We start from the raw sequence: 24859 nt of genomic DNA on the forward strand, positions 1-24859 counted from the left end.
TGCGCCTTATAGTTGTGTTAAAGAACAAAAGCTATCCCAGATACTTGGAAGGCCGACATGGGAGGAGTGCTTGAGGCCAGGAGTTCAAGACCAGCCTGGGCCATAAGCAAGACCCTGTCTCTACAAAAAAAAAAAAAAAAAAAAAAAGTTGTTTTAATTAGCCAGGTGTGGTTGTACATCCCTGTAGTCCTAGCTACTTGGAGCCTGAGGTGGAAAGATCACTTGAGCCCAGGAGTTGGAGACTACAATGAGCTATGATCTCGCCACTGCATTCCAGCCTGGGTGACAGTTGCTCTGATCCCCAGAGCAACTCTCTAAAAAAAAAAAAAAAGAAAAAGAAAGAAAGAAAAAAGGCCAGGTGTGATGACTCACATCTATAATCCCAGCACAGGGAGATCGAGGCAGGAAGATCACTGAACCCAGGAGTTGAAGACAAGCCTGGGCAACGTAGTGAGACCTCATCTCTACAAAAATAAATAAATAACCAGGCATGGTGGCATGTACCTGTAGTGCCAGCTACTTGGGAAGCTGAGGCGGGAGGATTGCCTGAGCCCAGGAGGTCAAGGGTGCAGTGAGCCACGATTGCACCACTGCATTCCAGCCTGGGTGATGGAATGAGACCCTGTCTCTATTTAAATAAGTAAATAAACAAACAAATAAATAAAAAAGAATAAAAGGTAAAACATGTCTGAGGCCTGCTACAAGGCAGATTACCTATAAATATTAGAGTTATTCATGCCCTTTCTTCACTCCTGATCCGCCTAAAAAGAAGATAGAGTAGGTCCCTTCTCTAGGGAAAAGGAACCACAACCACCACCATCTCAGCTTGAGGGACTTGTAGCGAAGCTTTACCCTATGAACCAACCTCGGGAGTCTCCGGCCTCCATTGCCCCACACCTTGGAAGGGGAGGGGCTTCTCTGGAGAGAGGTTTGTTTAAATGTCATTATTTTCTGAAATCATTGCCCAATTTTTCCTATTTTACAGTCAGCCATCCACTATGCATCAGGTGAGTGCGTCTGAGAAGCCTATAGCTGAGGAGTCCTCGGGGAATGAGGTCATCTGGAAACGCAAGCCTCCCTCGGTTTCAGCAACTCATGCACGTGAAGACAGGCCCCTTCCCCAGGCCCCTGTTGCTGCGAAACGGTGTGGGAGGGTGAGGAAAGGTGTAGAGAGGCACTCCCCACACTTTAATGAGCGCAGGAGCCCGTCAGTGATCTTGTCCAGATGCAGATTCTGTTGTGGTGGGGGCTGGCTCCAGCCTCTGCGTTTCTTGCCAGCTCTGGGTGATGCCGGTGCTGCTGGCCTGTGGGCCACACTTTGAGTAGCAGGGCTCTGAGATATGATGTGGTGTGTAACATGGGCATTATTCAGAGGGACTGTAGGTGTCACGGTGGTTGGTGGCAAGAAAAAGAAACCAGTTCATTCAGCTCAGGATTCCCAGCCCTGGAAGGGAGCACCAATGGCCAGGCACCGGGCTTCACTCCAGCCTCAGCCCTGGGACGGTAAGGCCCCGGGAGAAGTTCCATAAGACTGTGTACAGTGAAAAAGAGGTCATTCCTCAATTCTGCATTCGAAAATCGGGGCATCTTAGGAAGGGGACATGAGCACTAGGTGTCCAAAACCCACAAATGCCCACTCCAGCAGGGATTCCTTGGAGCCAGGTGAGTGGGCGGAGAGTGAGATCTGGAGGCCCTGATGAGTCTGAGACAGCGCCTCCTATTTGAGGTCATCTCTCTCTCTGGCTGAAAGAAGGAGGGGTGTGCATAGCAGGGCTGCTGGGGAGGGAGAGAGGAGGGAGGAAGGAGTCTGTGGGCTCTACAATGAAACTGGAGGCCCAAGTCCTCCCGGGACCACAGCGTTCTTAGCGGGAGCCAACGCACAGGCCGGACTAGGAGGTGACAAGTGGGGCATGCTAGGGTACAAAATTTAAGGAGGTGCTTACTCTCAAGTCATAAAAGTACTTGCATATGAATGCCTCCTTAAATTTTTTTTTTTTTTTTTTGAGACGGAATCTTGCTATGTTGCCCAGGCTGGAGTGCGGTGGTGCGATCTTCGCTCACTGCAAGCTCCGCCTTCCGGGTTCACGCCATTCTCCTGCCTCAGCCTCCTGAGTAGCTGGGACTACAGGCACCTGCCACCATGCCCGGCTAATTTTTTTGTATTTTTAGTAGAGACGGGGTTTCACCGTGTTAGCCACGGGGTCTCGATCTCCTGACCTCGTGATCTGCCTGCCTTGGCCTCCCAAAGTGCTGGGATTACAGGCGTGAGCCACCATGCCCAGCCAAATTTTTTTATTTTTTATTTTACTTTTTAAGAGATGGGATCTTGCTCTGTCACCCAGGGGACAGTGCAGTAATATGATTGTAGCTCACTGCAGCCTCCAACTCCTAGACCCAAGCAATCCTCCCTCCCGCCTCAGCCTCCTGAGTAGCTGGGACTACAGGCAGGTGCCACCACACCCAGCTAATTTTAATTTATTTTTCGTAGAAACAGGGTCTCACTATGTTGCCCAGGCTGGTCTCAAACTCCTGGCCTCAAGTGATCTTTCTGCCTCAGCCTCCCAAACTGCTAAGATTACAGGTGTTGGCCACCGCACCCAGCCCCTTCTTAAATTTTGCAAGCTAGTCACTTCACCTGACTCCAGCCCTGCTAAGGAAGAGTAGTCACACTTTGGTCTCCTCTTTACTCTTCCACCTGGGCAAGACACCTCTGGGCCTCTTCTTTTCCCTCAAGCAAAAAAGAACAAGGTAATAGTGAGGAAGGACGATGCTTACCATAAACATCTTCAGAACTTATTTACCTTGAAATGGGTAGCACCAGACCCAGGGCCTGGCATGCTCAATCAATGTTTGTTCAATGAATTAATCAATCCCACCACTAAATGGAAAGGATCTTTCATTGTTTGACAACAGTTGTCCCTCTCAGAGGGCAGAGGCTATTTTTGCATCATCTTTGCACTTAGTGTGTTCCTGGAATATAACAGAGGTCAATAGAAGTCTACTGAACTTGATGGAGGTGAAACTCATTTCACCTGAAGGTAAAGTTAGTAGTTGTTTAGAAGGTGTCAGATGAGGGACCATCTCCAAAATATTTTCAACTCTTTTGAAATTCCTCTATTAATAACTTATTCCTTTGACTTTCATTTTCCTTACCCACTTGTCTTATTTTAAAATGCCAGTGCCAGTAGGGAAAGGTTACATTAACCAAAAAACAAACTTTAACTTCTTTGCGTTTTTGCCCTGGGAAACCTCTAAATCGGAATTTGGCAAACTATGGTCTATGGGCAAAATTCAGCCCATCACCTGTTTTTGTACAACCTGAGAGCTAAGAATGGCTTTTTAATTTTTTTAGTGGTTGAAAAAAAAAACTCAAAAGAGGAATAATCGTTTATGATATGTGAAGATTATATGAAATTCAAATTTCAGTGTTTACAAATAAAGTTTTATTGGAACATAGCCGCATTTATTCACTTAAGCAGTGTCTGTGGCTGCTTTGGTGCTATGATAACAGAGTTAAGAAGTTGTGACAGAGACCTCATGGCCCACAAAGTTTAAGATATTTGCTATCTGGCCCTTTACCGAAAAAGTTTGTTGACTCTGAGGGGGAGCTATCTGTACTCCTGTATTTATCCCATCAACTTGTTTTGGTAATTTTTTTACAAAATCACTAGATATAATCTCATTTTAATAGAAACCATCGCTTAGAGAGATAAATAGATTCCCAAAGAGTTTATGTATAAATAGAAGTCTTATTAATAAAATCCTATTTTTAGTATTTCTGTTTAAAATATTTTAGGTTAGACAAATGAAAATGTTGTCTCTTCTGGTTTTGGAGGACAGGTTTGTCAGAAGCAGGGACTGTGTTACCCTAGAGAAATCTCCTTTTTATCTTGTCTTTTGATTTTGTTTTTGTTTTTTGTTTTGTTTCGTTTTGTTTTGAGACAGGCTCTTGCTCTGTTGCCCAGGCTGGAGTGCAGTGGTGCCATCATAACTCACTGCAACCTGGACCTCCTGGGCTTAAGTGATTCCCCCACCTCAGCCTCCTGAGTAGCTGGGACTACAGGTGCATGCCACCATGCCTAGATAAATTTTTGTATTTTTTGTAGAAACAGGGTTTCTCCATGTTGCCCAGGCTAGTCTTGAACTCCTGATCTCAAGTGATCCTCCTGCCTTGGCCTCCCAAAGTGCTGGGATTACAGGCATCAGCCACAGTGCCTGGCCTAGTTTGTCTTTTACTATGGGTCGTTCTTTGGGCTCAGGCCTATCGGCACTGGTGCATGCCATACTTAATCTCAGAGACTCAGCTTGCTGGAGGCAGACTGAAAGCAAGTATCTCGAAGATGTAGTTTTGAGTTATGACCCAAGCAAGGGAGAGACTTTTCCCAGGGGTAGAGAAGGACATGATTTACTGGAATAGTCCCAAGAATATGCCAGGAAATCATTTGTCTGCAGCTAAATGGTTTCCATACTGCAATGAGTAGGAGGAGTAAACAGGCAAGGATGGGAATTCCAGAAGTGATTTTTCTCCCATTCTCCCCAACCCCCAAGTTTATTGGTAAATGTGTGATTGTCATTTTGCCCCCTGCACCTCATATCCCCACATGTACTCTCTCGCCAAACTTACGGTTTTGTAGCTGATCAACTTCAAGCAAAGTACACTTGGGCTGGGTTGCCAGCCTAAGAATTTTCAAGTAGAGAAAGCTGGTGAAATCTGATCCAATGTGATTCCCCTGGTTCTATGGAATTCTAGATTTTCCCGGATTTGCCAGAGAGATTTTGTTGGTCTCACCAATATGAGCCTTGAGTGTCGCAGCAGGGTAATGCCTAAGAATTCCCGGGTCAATAGCAGCATGTGAGCCTTCTAGCTGCACTCTGCATTGCTGAGAGCAATTTTAAAGTCCATTCAATGGACAGGATGTGAAATGAGGGGAGTTCATGGAAGGCGACAGGATTTTACTCTGCCTGCCCACCTCAGTCGATAGTGAAGCTTTCAAACTCCCTGTTTTCATAGCTTAATGGAGTGTATGTTATGAAATACCTTTAAACAAAGAATCCCTAATCTTTTCCTGATGTGAAGAAACTTTGAATTTTCCCAGAGTCATAAAATCAGAGATGCTAGAATGGAAAGGGAGACCTCATTTTCCAGATGTAGAACTGAAGCCCAGACTGCACTTGGTGAAGCAGGTTACCCGAGGTCTGCAGCTGAGGGGCAGCAGGGTTCACGTTACACGCCAGGGTCCCTGACACCACACCCAGAGCATTTCCCCTTATGCTACAGTCTCCCCATGGCTGATAGGGGTGGGAAGTGGGGGCAGAACTACAAAGACAGATTCTTGGTAGATGGGACCAGCTCATCCAAAAGAAGAGAGAGGAGCTCCTATATGCCAGAGGGCGTAAGCACTGATGGCTGCCACCTCTATCTCTGATACACACTACTGATGTTTATATGTATTGATGTTTATAAAAATTAGCCGGGCGTGGTGGCGGGCGCCTGTAGTCCCAGCTACTTGGGAGGCTGAGGCAGGAGAATGGCGTGAACCCGGGAGGCAGAGCTTGCAGTGAGCCAAGATAGCACCACTGCACTCCAGCCTGGGCGACAGAGCAAGACTCCGTCTCCAAAAAAAAAAAAAAAAAGAACGACAGTGGATCGTATCCTAAACCAGGGCTAAGTTTTATGCTGTTTCCTTTTTCAGGAAGAAAAACAACTACTACATACTCTGCATGGTGTCACCTCTTAAGAAAAATCCCCCAAAAAAGGCCAGACACGGTGGCTCACGCCTGTAATCCCAGCATTTTAGGAGGCCAAGGTGGGTGGATCACCTGAGGTCAGAAGTTTGAGACCAGCCTGGCCAACATAGTGAAACCCCGTCTCTACTAAAAATACAAAAATTAGCCAGGCGTGGTGGCACATGCCTGTAATCCCAGCTAATCAGGAGGCTGAGGCAGGAGAATCACTTGAACCTAGGAGACAGAGGTTACAGTGAGCTGAGATCTCGCCACAGCATTCCAGCCTGGGTGACAGAGCGAGACTCTGTCTCAAAAAAAAAAGAAAAGGAAAGAAAAAAAAAGAAAAATCCCCCAAAAGGATTGGGCATTTGGACCCAACACACGCTGACCACGCCAACAGAACCAGCCTTGTCATTCTTTCACTGGTTCATCTGGGTGTGTGTGTGTTGGGGGGGTGATGGTAGCTCATAGACCAGGAGGTGCCAGGTCTCTGTCCCCTCAGTAGCACAACTGTGCCATTAAATGGACTGTCACACATAAATTTCAGTCCAGAGACCCTTGCCCACCAGGGCCATATTATCACTGTGTGGACCTGGACCCTGCGTACTGTTGCCTTCATGGGCCACTTTATGAAAAAAAAATTAAAAATCATACTTTACATCTGCATTGGTAAGAAGACAAATATATTTGTATTACATGTTAAAACATTTTATTTGACCTAAAAGTTATTTTTTTCTCCCGATTGTAAAAGAAATCGCATCATTTCCATGGGTCCTATTGTGGGCCTTGGGCACTGTGCCTCCTGTGGCTAGTGGGGAAGCTGGCCCTGTTCCCACCCCGGCCCCTCCCCGCCCCCCACCCTCCACAGCTCTGTTTACTTCAACAAGCAGAGAGCTTCTGTTTGCTGAAGGAAATTCACAGTGCAGTGCATTTCTTCCCTGAAGAAAGCCGAATAATAAAAGGCAGTCAGGGAGAAAATAGGACCTTGAGAAAGCCCAGGACTGCAAGTCAAGAGGCTGGATCTCAGCTGGGGCTTTACTACAGGGCTCCTCAGTTGTCCCATGGAGACACAGCTCTGTCTCTCAGGGGGAAGGCTGAAGGTCAAAGGAGCCCAGAGGCAGGATCAGGAGCAGCTGAAATAAAGCCAGAATTCACATTCATCTTATTACTTCTTTTTTTTTTTTTTTTTTTGAGACAAGGTATCTCTCTATTGCCCAGGCCGCAGTGCAGTGGCACAGTCATGGCTCACTGCAGCCTCAAGTCTCCCAGGCTCAAGCGATCCAGATGGCTGAGTAGCTGGGACTACAAGTATGCACCACTACGCCCAACTAATTTTACAAGTAGTAGTAGTAATAGTAGTAGTGCTGGTAGTAGTAGTATTTGTAAAGATGGGGTCTCCCTGTGTTGCCCAGGCTGGTCTCAAACTGCTGAGCTGGAGCAACCCTCCCACCTTGGCCTTCCAAGGTGCTGAGATTACAGGCAGGAGCCACACATCTGGCCTCATCTTATTCCTTTTTAATGGTGAGAACAGGCCAAAAGCAAGCAAAAGCCTTGTCCTGAGAGACGGTGAGATCCTCATCCTGGGAAGTGTCCAGCAGCAGCTCCTGCCCAGGAAGCTCTGGAAGGGATGAAGTCATCGGATAATGCTTGTGTAGAGATGGAGCAATGTTGCTCTGCAGATTCAAGGGGGATAGGGACTGCAGGCATTCCTGGCTGTTTGAAAGAGAAGCGGCCAGACAAGGGAAGTGGTTGATGTGATGCAGGCTCCCTGGAGAGCTGCCCTTGGCAGGATGTGGAGTGAGAGAGGGTGGGCACTGGGAGGGAAAGGGTGGAGCCAAGCAGATGGCAGGAGCTTACAAGGTATGTAAGTGACAGTTCTCCATGGTCCTCAGAATGTGTCCAGGTACCAACCTCATGAAATGTCCATGTAACAGTGAAGGAGCTGGGCTTTGCGGTCAGTTTTGATACCAGTGGAAACTGAAACACAGGCAGATAGACACACAGGAACAGGGAGCAGGGGATCAGAAAGATGCTGGGAATGAGGTGAGGGGTGGGGCAAAATCTTGGGAAGGGCTCTCAGCAAACACCAGCAGAGCCATCTGGTCTGCAGGGCCCCGGGGACAGGGCCTCTGGCCAATGAGCTTTTTTCAAAGGCCTGTGAAAATACGTGACATGCCAAAAAAAAAAAATTATTGAATCTAAAATATAAAAGGAAAAGTATGAAATTGAAAGGAATACATTTTAATTAAATGTCTATAAAACAAACAACGTCAATTCATTCATGTTTAAATTTAGTGTTTCTGGATTCTCTGTTTGAAAATAACGCTAAGGTTTTATTTTCTCCCTCCATAAAATGTACTGTGCATGCACAATGCCAGCCTGGAGAACATAGCCAGACATGTAGTCAATGAGCAGCTATAATTTCAAAAGCAAGATTAATAAAGTCCTTTTGATCCTTTCTACAGCAAAAATGTGATACTCAATGTGAAATATGGGTATATTCTAATGTGTTTGATATTATGTGGAATGCGGACTCCATAATTAAAAGACCCTGGGGCCTGTAATGGTCTTAAACTGGCCCTGGAATTGGGGTCCAGGCTAAATTGAACCAAATCTCTGAGAGGTGAAATGAGAGCCCAGCTGAAGTCTGGGTAATAACAGGATTAGATGGAACCTCAGAACCTTCCAATTCAGAGTCCATCTGAGCACAGGTGCTTTTAACCCTGAAGGGCTGTTCAGACAGATGAGCTTTTAGAGGGTGGACGTGAAGTTCTCTGGGAGGAAGAAGCACCTTTCAAGCGTGATGAACTGTTATGGTAGGTCTCCACTAGAGCTAATATAACTCAGGAAACAGAAAGTGAGCCAGACCAAGTGGGTGGTAAATGACCGCTTGGCTGGGGGCTGGTGGCTGATGGCGGGTGGCTGGTGCAGCGTCACTCAGCAGCGGTAGGTCTCCTGACTGCAGCTGGGATGTGCTGTCACCCACTCCAGCACTAAAATTCAACACTGATTGCCAATTCGCCTTTGAAGGGCGCATTATTTTCTTTAATGATTTTACTCTTACACTTGAGAAAAGGGAGGAGGAAAAAATTGCGTTCTCCAGACACCTCTTGCCCCCTCGTTCTTTGTCTTTGATCCTGTTCCCAAGCTTACGCCATTACACGCCCTCCCTGTCATGCCCAGCTGTGTGCCCTCCCTGCCCGGCCCTCCCCAGCCAGGTTTCTTTGGCTGTGAGGCAGCAAAGGTGCCCAGCAGACACCCCTTCTGCCCTCTCTCAGGCTGCGTTCAGAGCTGGGAGCAGAGAGGCCAGACGGAGGAGGATGCCACCCAGCCTGGCCGCACAGGGCCCAAGGTGACTGGGAGGACCCCGGCTTCCCTCTCACCCCACCCCAGGGGCTCCGGGCAAATGACCTCAGCCTGAAGCAGCCAGTGAGGAGGCGTTTGTAGGGCCACTGGGGTTTGCCAGCTCCTCACTGGCAGATGACCTGGGGGAAGCAGTTTAATAGGTGTGTGTGCCCTTCTATCATGCGTGTCAGTGACCAGAAAGGCAGAGACCAAAGAGCAAAGGTGAGTAGTGACCCTCTACCAGCGAGCAGGCATGGCCCTCCTTCCCTGAGACCCGTCCCCAGCCTTCCTACTCCCTCCATGACAGAGCACACACATGGCCACTGTGGTTTTCATAATAATGAACTCATAAAGAACTAAAATTCACCTAGCACTTTCCGGCTCCCAGAGAGCATTTCCATTTTATTTGATAGTGACAGTGATGCTGGGAACAAAGCAGGACAGACATCAGCACTGTCCCCATGTAATCAGTGACAACACGGTTCCAGGGTGCACTGGCTTGGCCAGTGTTCCGTGGCTAAGATGTGGACAAGCCCAGTGACATTCAAACCTGGGTCTTCTGACTCCAAGACCCATAGTGAGCGGGCTTCAACCCTAAGAACCAACAGGGAAGCACCAGCTCTCACTGAGGAGCCAACCAGGCAATGAGTGTGGATTTGGAGTTGGGATGCACACATGGTGAGTAGCCGTGACCCTAGAATCAGAATATCTGTCTCAAGAAGCTTTTGGGGCTCTTAAAATGCTGACATCATGTAAAGTCATTGACCTTCGGGGGGAAAGATCATTTTATTTATGGCAAGATTCAATGCACTCATTCATTCATGTGTTAATTAATTCAACAAGCACATACATTGAGCACTACTCCATGTTAATAGATGCGAGCCAATTTGCCAAAAAATCAGTGCACCCAAAGACCCAATCTGCTGAATCATTAATTCACTCAATTTAATCCATTTGTCAAATGATTAGTTCACTGATTTTTCCAAATTTACTTGTTGTAGTTGTAACAGCTTGAACAGTAATGTTTTAACAGTGAAAATGTTGGCCAAACAAAAATCTGTAGAAATTCATGTTTTGCAAGTGAAACCCTACCTTCTGGGCAGAATTCCAGCCTTGAACTATATGATAAGATTGTCTTAGGTACCTCTGGTTTCTTTACATGCTTTTGAATGTAAGTGTATATTTTCAAACTTGAAACACTTGAAATATTTTTTCATCAGTTTCTCAAAAGACATTTAATCCTTAACTTGATTGAGGAAGTGTGGAGAAGTAGCTACACAGAAGAACCTGGCCCTGGAGGCAGCCCTGCCTGGTGTGTGAGCCCAGCTCTGCCCCTGTCTTAGCTTTGGCACCTTGGTCGAGTGACTTACACATATGTGATGGGAGCTCGGCCATATCACTTACAAATACTAGGGGAAAAAAACACATCATAGTAATAACAAGGTTATTTCTAGGTGGTGGATTGTAAGTAAATTTACTTGCCTTTTTAAATACTTTGTATTTATTTATTTATTTTGAGATGGAGTCTCGCTTTGTCGCCAGGCTGGAGTGCAGTGGCGCGATCTCAGCTCGCTGCAACCTCCACCTCGCGGGTTCAAGCGATTTTCCTGCCTCAGCCTCCCGAGTAGCTGGGATTACAGGCATGCGCCACCACACCTGGCTAATTTTTGTATTTTTAGTAGAGATGGGGTTTCACCATGTTGGCCAGGCTGGTCTCGAACTCCTGACCTCAGGCGATCCGCCTGCCTCGGCCTCCCAAAGTGCTGGGATTACCGGCATGAGCCACCGTGCCTGTCTAAATACTTTTTGATGTTTTAAAACATCCCTTGAATAATTTTAAGTGTTCACTATGGAAGAGGAACCACACCAGATGGCTTCATATATATTGTTTTAAACCATGTATGTTGTTTTAAACTTCATGTATGTTGTCATAAACCCACAAGATAGGTAATATTATCACTCATTTAGAAAGAAACTGAGGCTCCAAAGCATTAAGTAACTTGCACAAATCCCACAACTCTAATGAGCCTGACTTCCAATCTGTCTGACTTCAAAGCTCGTGCTAATTTGTACTTTCTCTGGCTCAACCGGTGTCCGCCTCTATTATATTAAATGGGTGTAATATTTGCATCTTAAAATATGGTGGGAGGATGGAATGAAATGATAGGTATGAAAGTCCACTGCAAACGATAAAGCCTTCAACAAAGAATATTAATAATAGGTAACGTACACATAGTGTGCGCCCAGTACTGGGCTGTTCCAAGGGCTTTGTAGATATCACATTCCCTTAATCATCTCAGTGATCCTGAGAGGCAGATGGCCATTATCCCCATTTTACAGAAAGGATATTGAAGAACAGAGAAGCTAAGTAACACGCCAGAGTCACACCACCACACATTATACCAGTTACCCAGATGGGAGCCTTTCAATTATAAATGACTCCCAAGTCACCTGTTTCCCAATATTCTCCCCAATTCCTTCCCCAGGGATACACTGTACCTTACTAGGTGGCAGGTAGTACACCTGGCTCAGCAGGAGGTCAGAGATGAAAGGTCAGGCATTAGGTTCAGGGCTCCATGGTATTGCATGGACCTTGCTTTCCGGGGACTGCCTGGGACAACCACGCACTCCAAAGACACTGCTGCCACCTGCTGTTCACATATTCTCCACCCAATGGCTTCTCCCCAGCACCTGCATGCGTGAGCCTCTCAACAGCATTACCGTCTTTCCCAGACCCATTCTGCAGCCTGGGTAAAAGAATTTAAACTTTTGCTCAATTTCAAATGCAAGAAGAGTAAACCCTTAGAAACAGAAGAGTTTGAATAAGGGAGCTGAGACACACTCCTGAGCAGTGTGACCTCGGGGCCCTCAGCCTCTTTAAGTCTGTTTCCTCATTTGTAAAATGAAGACACCATAATAATATGTGCTTCATGCAATTGTTTTTAAAATAAGATTTTTTTCCAATCTACAATTTACTTTCCTATCAGAAAAAAATGCTAAATATGTAAAGGGCAAGGCAGGATGGGACACAATTAAACATCCTAAATACCTACAATCATCTCTGTTTACATTATTGTTTTTAACAAATCTTTAACTTTTTTATTAATAAGGCATCTTGATTTATATTTTGCTACTGATTTTGAGCTCATCAAAGTAAATTCTGTCATTCTATTTGCATTTTATTGAGTACCTGAACCAGAAATGTGAAATGGGGAAAGGGTTACCTGATTTTTTTTTTTAATGAAAAAAGATTTCATAATTAAAATGGTCCCTTCCATCTGAGATTCTCAGAATATTCCCAAGATTCTGGTTCACAAGTTTCACATCACTTCTTTCAGGCAAATGGGCAACCTAAAACTGAGAAAATTGAAGTGGGCTTTTGCCACTTAAGTTCCCTTGGGAACTGACACAAATAGCAAAGCTAAGAGGCCTGGCTCCCGCTACACAGCTATAAACATCACACCAGATTCTGTTTGCCTGAAAACTCCTTCTGACTGAGTCTAGATGCCAGTTGTTAGATGATAGTCAATTTGCATGTTGCCAATCTAATATTCCTGGATCCTTAACTTATGTTGCTGGTTTAGAAGTTCAGTAAAACTGAAACTGTATTAGTAAGTTCCAGCAAGAATGTGTAAACTATTTCAGTAGTATCCACTCTGCTGCATACCATAGACCTGGATGTCATGGTTTAAAGGGGCAGATCTAGCTGCTCTCAACCTCTAAAGGGGAGGCTGAGTGCCAAATCACTCTCCTACGTCCTTGGTATGGACAAAAGAGTAAATGAAGATACTATCAGCTACCTGGATTTATCTTTCTGGTGACAAAACTTTTCCCTCTAAAAAAGTAGCCCTTGAAAACTGTCTTTCCTTTGTGGAAATAAAAATAGCATTTTAAAAGAGACAGCATTTGATACCTATTAAATTGGTAAAATTTTATAATAAATTGCTCAATGCTGGAATGTTAGCAATGAGATCAAATATGTTAATGGCATTAAAATTTGTGGGATCCTTTTGGAAAGCAATAGAAATATATTTGCAAGAACTCTAAAGAGTTTTTAAGCTTTGAGCTAATAATTCTATCCTGGAGACTTTGGTTTTCAACAAAGGCAAAAAGCTATATTTAAGAAGCCACTTGTCGTAGCATTATTTTTATTTTTTGAAACAGCGTTTTGCTCGTTGCCCAGGCTGGAGTGCAATGGTGCAATCTCGGCATACTGCAACCTCCACCTCCCAGGTTCAAACAATTCTCCTGCCTCAGCCTCCCAAGTAGCTGGGATTACAGGTGTGTGACACCAGGCCCGGCTAATTTTGTATTTTTAGTAGAGATGGGGTTTCACTATATTGGTCAGGCTGGTCTCCAACTCCTGATCTCAGGTGTTCCGCCCACCTCGGCCTCCCAAAGTGCCGGGATTACAGGTGTGAGCCACCGTGCCTGGCCCGTTTGTTGTAGCATTATTAATAGTAGAAAAAGAAAAACCTGGCGACAACCTATATCTTCACCCAAAAGGAATCATGATTAATTCAGTTGATGGAATATTATTTCACCATTAAAATGATAAACACGGAGGCTAGGTAGAAATGTAGATGCCTATCAAAGTATAATCACAAAAAGAAGAAAAAGGAAATGTGGAGAAATGCATAAGTGAAAAAGGGGCAGAAAACCAAAATGATATGTACATTGTAACTACAGCCCTCTTAAGTGCTTATGGATGCCAACTAGGCTGTAATGGGCAAAAACACAGAGCTGTGTTAAGATGGTAGAATTCTGGATGATTTCTCTTTATTTCCAAATTCCCTTAATGTGTTTACATTATAAAAAGAAAACTGGCCTTTCAGGGTGTAGATATTCTGAGTTAACCTAGTTACTCTACAGAGTACCTCTTTCTCCAATGGGGAGACAGCCATGATCTATTTGGAAAAGCCAGTGATTTCTCATTCTATCGTAGTAAGTTGCAAAATAAATTCATCAAGCACTACAATGATCAAATATGATATACTGCAATTGGAAGAAGCAGGGCAGAAAAATATCCTCTATTAAAGAATCTTGTGCTCCTAAATCTTCAGTATGTTGATCTGGGTTGATCTGTGCTAAGGTGACACTTGTCCAGCCTTGATGGAAGAATTATAAAGTGACTATGAAATATGTCAAGGCCTGTTTCACTACCAACTTGCATTTGACTAGCACTTTATAATTGTATTTATTTATTTATTTAGAGACAGTCTCACTCTGTCACCCAGGATGGAGTGCAGTGATGCAATCTCAGCTTACTGTGACATCCGCTTCCCAAGCTCAAGCAATTCTCATGCTCCAGTCTCCCAAGTAGCTGGGATCACAGGCACCTGCCACCATGCCCAGAGAATTTTTGTAAATTTAGCAGAGACAAGGTTTCGCCACGTTGGCCAGGCTGGTCTCGAATTCCTGACCTCAAGTGATCCACCCACCTTGGCCTCCCAAAGTGATGGGATTACAGGCAAAAGCCACCGTGCCCGGCCTATAATTTTTAAAATATTTTCACATCTTTTATCAAGTTTGAGTTTCCCAACTCTGTACAGCAGGCAGGGCATGTAGTATTTTACACATGGGGACACTGAGGCTTAGAAAACTAAGTGACTGGCCGGGCGCGGTGGCTCATGCCTGTAATCCCAGCACTTTGGGAGGCCGAGGCATGTAGCATATTAACTCTGAGCTACATGGATTATGGTGAAACTACTGATTGACTTTTTAAGCGCAGAAAGGAATTTTTTTTTTTTTTAAAGACAGAGTTCTCGTTTGTTGCCCAGGCTGGAGTACAATGGCGCGATCTCAGCTCACCACAACTTCTGCCTCCCGGGTTCAAGTGATTCTCCTGCCTCAGCCTCCCGAGTAGCTGGGAATACAGGCATGGGCCACCACATCCAGCTAATTTTGTATTTTTAGTAGAGACGGGGTTTCTCCATGTTGGTCAGGCTGGTCTCAAACTCCCGACCTCAGGTGATCTGCCCGCCTCAGCCTCCCAAAGTGCTGGGATTACAGGCATGAGCCACCGTGACCGGCCCAGAAAGGAATGTTTTGTGAGGTATGAATGGTTAGTGTGCCTGGGGAGGTCCACGCAATGATCTGTTGGAGAGCCTGATAGCAACGTGGTGAGGCCACAGTGTGGTACAATTGCAGGAAGATGACTCAGGACCTCAGTACCCACAAACAGGAGGCATCTATGAGAGGGAGGCGGGGGGTATGCAGTGCCTGATGGAGACTTCGGCAGGAAGAACTAAGGGTGGACCTAGCCTTAGATCTTTGGTCCCTCAGTGATCAAGATTGCTCAGAGGAAAATCTTTCAAACTTAGACTGGGGCATAGAAATAAAGGGAGTAACTCTTGAGATGGTTTCTAAGAAAGAACTAAGTAACCACACATTGATAACAACAGTCATATTCCCAGCCTCCCTGTGGTTCCTGCCATGGCTCTGGGCGCCTATGCTTGAGCCAGCAAGGTCGGGCTTCTCATGCTGGATCTGCAGACTCACCCCCAGACGCCTATGGAATTTCAAATTCTGTCTTTCCATTTGATTACTATTTAAAATTAGATTCATGGTTGCAGGTTCTGGGTCCTCTGGCCATCCACTGAGTACCATAACATGGCTTCACAATCTACACTGGCACTGTGTTTAGATGGGATTGGAGCCAAATAATTCTATTTGAATTGTCACAGGCTAAAGAGAAAAAGAATAGAGATGGACTTACTATGTAAACAAGTAGAGGCCAAAGGACATCACAAAGCATTGTATGCAAAATGTTTTCCTAGTCACTCAAATGGGAAACTGATGGATATGCAGAGTTAACACACAGTCCATGGGGTACAGGCATAGAACACTCTCAAGGAAAAAAAAAAAAAAAAAGGGCAGCACGGCCCTCTGCCCGAGAATGACTTTTTTGGTCTCAGAATCCCTTTCTACTCTTACAAATTACTGAGAACCCCAAAGAGCTTTTGTTTATATGGGTTATAGCTATCAATGTTTATATATTAGAAATTAAAAATGGGAAATTTATTTACCAATTCATTTCTAAACGACAATAATAAACCCATTATTAAAATAAATAACACTTTTAGTAAAAATGTTTTCTAAGATGGAAAACTTTAGTGAAAAGAGTGAAATTCGTCCCTCTCCCTCTCCCTCTCCCCACGGTCTCCCTCTCCCTCTCTTTCCACGGTCTCCCTCTGATGCCGAGCCGAAGCTGGACTGTACTGCTGCCATCTCGGCTCACTGCAACCTCCCTGCCTGATTCTCCTGCCTCAGCCTGCCGAGTGCCTGCGATTGCAGGCGCGTGCCGCCACGCCTGACTGGTTTTCACATTTGTTTGGTGGAGACGAAGTTTCGCTGTGTTGGCCGGGCCGGTCTCCAGCTCCTAACCGCGAGTGATCCGCCAGCCTCGGCCTCCCGAGGTGCCGGGATTGCAGACGGAGTCTGGTTCACTCAGTGCTCAATGGTGCCCAGGCTGGAGTGCAGTGGCGTGATCTCGACTCGCTACAACCTCCACCTCCCAGCCGCCTGCCTTGGCCTCCCAAAGTGCCGAGATTGCAGCCTCTGCCTGGCCGCCACCCCGTCTGGGAAGTGAGGAGCGTCTCTGCCTGGCCGCCCATCGTCTGGGATGTGAGGAGCCCCTCTGCCTGGCTGCCCAGTCTGGAAAGTGAGGAGCGTCTCTGCCCGCCCGCCATCCCATCTAGGAAGTGAGGAGCGCCTCTTTCCGGCCGCCATCCCATCTAGGAAGTGAGGAGTGTCTCTGCCCGGCCGCCCATCGTCTGAGATGTGGGGAGCGCCTCTGCCCCGCCGCCCCGTCTGGGATGTGAGGAGCGCCTCTGCCCTGCCGTGACCCCGTCTGGGAGGTGAGGAGCGTCTCTGCCCGGCCGCCCCGTCTGAGAAGTGAGGAGACCCTCCGCCCGGCAGCCGCCCCGTCTGGGAAGTGAGGAGCGTCCCCGCCTGGCAGCCACCCTGTCCGGGAGGGAGGTGGGGGGTCAGCCCCCCGCCCGGCCAGCCGCCCCGTCCGGGAGGGAGGTGGGGAGTCAGCGCCCCGCCCGGCCAGCCGCCTCGTCTGGGAGGGAGGTGAGGGGCACCTCTGCCTGGCCGCCCCTACTGGGAAGTGAGGAGCCCCTCTGCCCGGCCACCACCCCGTCTGGAACGTGTACCCAACAGCTCATTGAGAACGGGCCATGATGACAATGGCGGTTTTGTGGAATAGAAAGGGGGGAAAGGTGGGGAAAAGATTGAGAAATCGGATGGTTGCTGTGTCTGTGTAGAAAGAAGCAGACATGGGAGACTTTTCATTTTGTTCTGTACCAAGAAAAATTCTTCTTTCTTGGGATCCTGTTGATCTATGACCTTACCCCCAACCCTGTGCTCTCTCAAACATGTGCTGTGTCCACTCACGGTTAAATGGATTAAGGGCGGTGCAAGATGTGCTTTGTTAAACAGATGCTTGAAGGCAGCATGCTCGTTAAGAGTCATCACCACTCCCTAATCTCAAGTACCCAGGGACACAAACACTGCGGAAGGCCGCAGGTTCCTCTGCCTAGGAAAACCAGAGACCTTTGTTCACTTGTTTATCTGCTGACCTTCCATCCACTATTGTCCTATGACCCTGCCAACTCCCCCTCTGCGAGAAACACCCAAGAATGATCAATAAAAAAAAAAGAGTGAAATTCTTTTACATTTTTCCAAATCCATTTAATGTTTGCATTAAACGGAAGATAGCTGCTTTCTTTTATCTGCTTATATAGTCCACTTATTTTGACATAGTTTGCATATATGAAGAAAATATGACCTCACATACATGTATAGATGGAAAAGGGAAGAGTATGTCATTAGACTTTTCAGATAATTCTGGATGTGCTTCTTTGATACTGCACTATAATTCAACAAATGGCATTTTTTTTTTTGAGACGGAGTTTCGCTTTTATCGCCCAGGCTAGAGTGCAATGGCATGATCTCAGCACACTGCACCCTCTGCCTCCCAGGTTCAAGCAATTCTCCTGCCTCAGCCTCCCAAGTAGCTGGGATTACAGGCGTGCACCACCATGTCTGGCTAATTGTTTATTTTTAGTAGAGACAGGGTTTCACCATGTTGGCCAAACTCGTCTCAAACTCCTGACCTCAGGTCATTTGCCCACCTCAGCCTCCCAAAGAGCTGGGATTACAGGCATGAGCCAACACCCCCAGCCAAATGGTAGTTCCTTAAACATTAATTGCAAGGTATAATCTGGAACCGTATCACTGAACTTTTCGTATTCAGTCATACTAAAATTCACTGGTTCATCTTGCGTTTTATTTTACTTTTTAATATATTTTATTTTATTTTCAGACAGGGTCTCACTCTGTCGCCCAGGCTAGAGTGCAGTGGCACGATTACAGCTCACTGCAACCTCAACCCCCCAGGTTCAAGCGATCCTCCCACCTCAGCCTCCTGAGTAGCTGGGACTACAGGCACAAGCCACCACACCCAGCTAATTTTTGTATTTTTTGTAGAGATGGTGTTTTACCACGTTGGTCAGGCTGGTCTCCAACTCCTGGCCTCAAGCAATCCACCTGCCTCGACCTCTCAAAGTGCTGGGATTACAGGTGTGAGCCACTACAACCAGTCTCATCTTGCATTTTAAATGGTTCTTTTTTTATGCAGGATTTTTGTGCTTTGGCCATTTTGAAAATATTGATTCAATGAGTTGTAGACTTCCAAATGTTGACATAGTTCATTATATAGTATCGAAAACTACATTTATTACTATCACCACAAATTTCATAAGAAAAGTATTTTAACACTAGATGGCTGGGCGCAGCGGCCCATGCCTGTAATTTCAGCACTTTGGAAGACCAAGGGGGGCAGATCACTTGAGCCTAGGTGTTCGAGGCCAGCCTGGGTAACACAGTGGGAATGCGTGTCTACAAAAATTTTAAAAATTAGCCTGATATGGTGGCACACACCTGTGGTCCCAGCTCAGATAAGATGGGAGGATCACTACAACTCAGGAGGCCAAGGCTGCAATGAGCCGTGTTTGTGCCACTGCACTCCAGCCTGGGCAACACAGCAAGACCCTATCTCAATTTAAAAAAAACAAAAACTAAAAAACTAAAAAGCTGTCAAGCTTATGGTAGCAGATACAGGCTTCCCCAAATCCTAATTTTCACTTGAAAATTCAGTTTACCATGTGGCAACAAATACTGTCGTATGATTTCCTTGAAGTGACAGGATACTTTATTCATTTTCAGAAAATATCCGCCAAATTCCCAAGTCAAAAGAATAATAGTTTGTCTGTCAGCCATCCCTTTAAGTAAAAATAGGGTTCCATTTTTTTTTAATTAATTTATTTTTTTATTATTATACTTTTAGGGTACATGTGCACATTGTGCAGGTTAGTTACATATGTATACATGTGCCATGCTGGTGTGCTGCACCCACTAACTCGTCATCTAGCATTAGGTATATCTCCCAATGCTATCCCTCCCCCCTCCCCTCACCCCACAACAGTTCCCAGAGTGAGATGTTCCCCTTCCTGTGTCCATGTGATCTCATTGTTCAATTCCCACCTATGAGTGAGAATATGCGGTGTTTGGTTTTTTGTTCTTGCGATAGTTTATGGAGAATGATGACTTCCAATTTCATCCATGTCCCTACAAAGGACATGAACTCATCATTTTTTATGGCTGCATAGTATTCCATGGTGTATATGTGCCACATTTTCTTAATCCAGTCTATCATTGTTGGACATTTGGGTTGGTTCCAAGTCTTTGCTATTTTGAATAATGCTGCAATAAACACACGTGTGCATGTGTCTTTATAGCAGCATGATTTATAGTCCTTTGGTTATATACCCAGTAATGGGATGGCTGGGTCAAATGGTATTTCTAGTTCTAGATCCCTGAGGAATCGCCACACTGACTTCCACAACAGTTGAACTAGTTTACCGTCCCACCAACAGTGTAAAAGTGTTCCTATTTCTCCACATCCTCTCCAGCACCTGTTGTTTCCTGACTTTTTAATGATTGCCATTCTAACTGGTGTGAGATGGTATCTCATTGTGGTTTTGATTTGCATTTCTCTGATGCCCAGTGATGGTGAGCATTTTTTCATGTGTTTTTTGGCTGCATAAATGTCTTCTTTTGAGAAGTGTCTGTTCATGTCCTTCGCCCACTTTTTGATGGGGTTGTTTGTTTTTTTCTTGTAAATTTGTTTGAGTTCATTGTAGATTCTGGATATTAGTCCTTTGTCAGATGAGTAGGTTGCGAAAATTTTCTCCCATTTGTAGGTTGCCTGTTCACTCTGATGGTAGTTTCTTTTGCTGTGCAGAAGCTCTTTAGTTTAATTAAATCCCATTTGTCAATTTTGGCTTTTGTTGCCATTGCTTTTGGTGTTTTAGACATGAAGTCCTTGCCCATGCCTATGTCCTGAATGGTAATGCCTAGGTTTCCTTCTAGGGTTTTTATGGTTTTAGGTCTAACATTTAAGTCTAATCCATCTTGAATTGATTTTTGTATAAGGTGTAAGGAAGGGATCCAGTTTCAGCTTTCTACATATGGCTAGCCAGTTTTCCCAGCACCATTTATTAAATAGGGAATCCTTTCCCCATTGCTTGTTTTTCTCAGGTTTGTCAAAGATCAGAGAGTTGTAGATATGCGGCGTTATGTCTGAGGGCTCTAGGGTTCCATTTAAAAAGCAGCTAATTTGGCCAGGCGCAGTGGCTCATGCCTGTAATCCCAGCACTTTGGGAGGCCGAGGCGGGCGGGTCACGAGGTCAGGAGATCGAGACCATCCTGGCCAACATGGTGAAACCTCCGTCTCTACTAAAAATATACGAAAAAAAAAATTAGCCAGGCGTAGTGGCACACACCTGTGGTCCCAGCTACTCGGGAGGCTGAGGCAGGAGAATGACATGAACCCAGGAGGCAGAGGTGGGCAGTGAGCCGAGATCACGCCACTGCACTCCAGCCTGGGCGACAGAGTCAGACTCCGTCTCAAAAACATATACACATATATATATAGAAAGAGATATATTATACATATGTATATTATAGATCTCTATCCATATATCTATAATATAGATGATAGGATAGATGGATGGATGGATGGATGGGTAGATAGGTAGATAGATAGATACAGATATCCACCAGCCACAGCCTCTCAAAGTGCTGGGATTACAGACCCCACCACACCCATCCCACATTCTGTAATTTAATCTACACAAATCCCCCTGAGGAAGATACTAGTATCTAGGGCAGGACTAGGGTGAGAGAAGAGGCCCAGGGTACAAAATTGAGGAGTTACATACACAGAGAGAGAGAAAGATATACAAATTAAGGAGGCACTCCCTCTCAGAGCCATGCTGAGGAAAATGAGCCTCCAGAAGGGTAACTTGGCAACAAAGTGGTTAGCAACAGACATGGGGTCCACCCTGGGGTCGGCCTGTGGTAGCCAAAGTGAATGCGATGAAGTGGAGGGGACCACAGGCTTCCTTCCTATGGGTTCTCATGCTGTCACCCCATCCAGATGGTGCAAGCCTCTGAGAGACTGCCCAGCCTGTTCTAGAAAGTTCCCAACTCTGATTTTCCTAACTTTGATTCAAGACTCTGACATACTAAAATCTAACTTCCCCTTCACAGTAATGCCCTGCGGAGACAGCCACACTTTAAACTTCATGAAAGTCTTACAGTAAGGGCCTCTTAAGATTTTCTCAGAGAGCCCACTTCTGACAATTTAATAAGAAAAAGCCTCTTAGGACAAAAACGGGAAGTTACAATCTTTCACCAAGAAGCTAAACCTTTGGCCTCATACCATGGAGGATGCTTTTGGAGGCCATCACCATCACTAGGATGAGTCTTTATACCGGCATTTGGGATTGTCTCTTCACCTAAAGGGTAAAATGGCTCTGCGAATAAGTAAAGCTGCCCCACAATGTAGCTTCTCCCTCTCCTGAAGATGGAAAGATGAGCTGAGTGAGCTATAGAACAGAGCATTTAGTCCAGAGTGAAAGCCAGCACATTAGAATTCGGGGGGCCTTCCTCTGGGAATCCCTGAGGCATTTTTGTAAATAACCAACTCAAGGGCAGGAAAGCCCTTAGAAAAGAATAATTAAAGTCTGTTGGGATAACCGTTCTCAGAGCCCCAAGGCAGACTCTAGCAGAAAGCCTCCCCTCAACGCCTGCCCCAAGGAAAGGAAGCTGAGCAGAGAAATGAGTTACCAAGAAATAACGAGCAAATAAAAAGATGCTCTTTACTCAGGAGGCTGAGGTGGGAGGATCACTTGAGCCTAGGCGTTCGAGGCCAGCCTGAGCAATATAGCAAGACCCTGTCTCTACCACAAAAAAAAAGTATAAATGTATAAAATGATCTTTGTGTTCTTTTCCAACTTTGAGAAATAATGGTTTCTCTGGAAACATGCTATGGACTTAATTATGTCCTCCCAAATTCCTGTGTTAAAATGCGTAATTCTCAGGGTGACTACTTTAGTATGAGACAAGGTTAAATGAGTTCCTCAGGGTGGCGGCCTGATATGATAGGATTAGAGTTCTTATAAGAAGAGACACAAGGAACACTCTGGTTTGCCCAGAAAATCCTCTCCCCGCTTTTTTTTCTCCTCCACTCCCTCTCTCTGCCAAAGGATACAGCAAGGTGGTGGCTGTCCACAAGCCTGGAAAGAGAGCGCTCATATTAGTTGACTACACTGGCACTCTTATCCCAGACTTCAAGCCTCCAGAACCGTGAGAAGATAAATTTCTATTCTTTAAGCCACGCCAAGTCTGTGGTATTTTGCAATGGCAGACCACGATGATGAAAACCTAACACTGGAGCAATCTTTAATGTCCACACTTGGTACTCAGTTGGCTTCCAAAGACCAACCATTATTTACGCTATACTGACTAACCTTGCCTCCATATCCCTTTAATCCTCACCACATAAATCCTCCCCTCACCCCAGTGGGTGATAATTTTTGCTATTTTACAGCTAAAATTCAAGTAATGGACTATTTGGATGATAGCGTGCCCGGAATTGGTTCCTTCCGATATTCTTGGTCTCGCTGACTTTAACAATGAAGCCTCAGACCATTGCGGTGAGTGTTACAGTTCTTAAAGATGGTGTGTCCGGAGTTTGTTGCTTCAGATGTTCAGATGTGTCTGAAATTTCTTCCTTCTGGTGGTTTCATGGTCTCGCTGATTTCAGGAGTAAAGCCACAGACCTTCCGAGTGAGTGTTACACCTCTTAAAAGTAGCGTGTCGACAATTGTTTGTTTCTCCTGGGAGGTTCATGGCCTGGTGGCTTCAGGAGTGAAGCTGCACATCTTTGCCGTGAGTGTTGCAGCTCATAAACATAGTGCAGACCCAAAAAGTAAACAGCAACAAACTCTATGGTAAGCACTTACAACAGAAAGAAACCCCAATCAGTTGCCGCAGCTAGGTTGCGTGGCCTGCTTTTATTCCCTTATTTGGCCCCACCCACATCCTGCTGATTGGTCCACTTTACAGAGAGCTGATTGGTCCGTTTTACAGAGTGCTGATTGGTCCGTTTTTACCAAGTGCTGATTGGTCCGTTTTTACCAAGTGCTGATTGGTGTGTTTACAGACCTTTAGCTAGACACAGAGCACTGATTGGCGCATTTACAATCCTTTAGCTAGACAGAAAAGTTCTCCAAGTCCCCACCCGACCCAAAAGCCCAGCCGGCTTCACCTCTCAATAGAATCAAAAGCAGTAAAGTTCAGAGCTGGGTGGTCATATATGAATCACTTAACCTTTCTTTCTTTTTTCCTTAAAATAGAGATGGGGTCTGCTATGCTGCCCTGGCTGGTTTTAAACTCCTGGGCTCAAGTGATCCTCCCACCTCGGCCTCCCAAAGTGCTCAGATTACAGGCCTGAGCCACCGCTCCCGGCCTGAATCAGTTAACCTTTCTGGGCATTCATATCATTGACTATAAAATGGGGGTAGTGTTAGTTTATGCTTCCCAGATTGCAGATGAGAATCTAAATATCTGCCCACAACCCCCAATGGGAGGTACAGGAGCCAACCAAGCAAGCCATGGTCAGGATCTGGTTCCTGGAGGCTGGAATCCGGGGAAGCCAGAGAGGAGAGAGCCAGAAGGTGAGTGAGTATCCATATTCTTCAACAGCACAGTCCAGTGTTAAGACAGGGCATGAGGACCAGCTCCACTGGAAACACCAGCCAGCGTCTTAACCGGGGAGGAAGGAAGGTGTGTGCTGGGCAAGTGGGGCATGTGACAAAGTGGAACTGAAGTGGCCGTCGCTTGCCTTTAGGCCAGCAGGTAAGATTGGGGTGACCCATGTATCTTATGGTAATGAACAAAATCATTACCATGGCATTGTCTTTTTTTTTTTTTGAGACAGTCTTGCTCTGTCGCCCAGGTTGGCATGCAGTGGCACGATCTTGGCTCACTGCAACCTCCGCCTCCCAGATTCAAGTGATTCTCATGCCTCAGCTTCCCGAGTAGCTGGGATTACAGGTGCATGCCACCACGCCCGGCTGGATTTTTGTATTTTTAGTAGAGATGGGGGTTTCACCATGTTGGCCAGGCTGGTATCGAACTCCCGACCTCAGGCGATCCGCCTGCCTTGGCCTCCCAAAGTGCTGGATTTTTGTTTTTTAACACTCCCACCCCCTCAACCCCCCTCCATCATGCAAAGTGCAGCCAAAGTGGAGAATACTAGATGTTAATGATGAAGTCGGAGGTGTGGTTGGGGTCACTGTGCAGGCGTATGTAGATCTCCACAATGAGGCACAGGGGCCTTCCTTAGAAGTGCGTTGGGTATTAACAGTGA

General features: G+C 45.8%; 2 annotated features.

The window, feature by feature from the left end:
• Window positions 8297-12093: an enhancer, noted in NCBI's record as "VISTA enhancer hs2160". NCBI's record gives its function as "enhancer in: tail[7/8]" and the evidence as "EXISTENCE:transgenic organism evidence [ECO:0001131][PMID:17130149]".
• Window positions 15061-15355: a silencer, noted in NCBI's record as "tiled region #14461; K562 Repressive DNase unmatched - State 7:EnhWF". NCBI's record gives its function as "represses a minimal TATA promoter and a strong SV40 promoter by Sharpr-MPRA in K562 cells {active_cell/tissue: K562}" and the evidence as "EXISTENCE:reporter gene assay evidence [ECO:0000049][PMID:27701403]".

The sequence above is a fragment of the Homo sapiens genome, chromosome 15 (assembly GCF_000001405.40).
Source record: "Homo sapiens chromosome 15, GRCh38.p14 Primary Assembly".
Classification (NCBI taxonomy): Eukaryota; Metazoa; Chordata; class Mammalia; order Primates; family Hominidae; genus Homo; species Homo sapiens.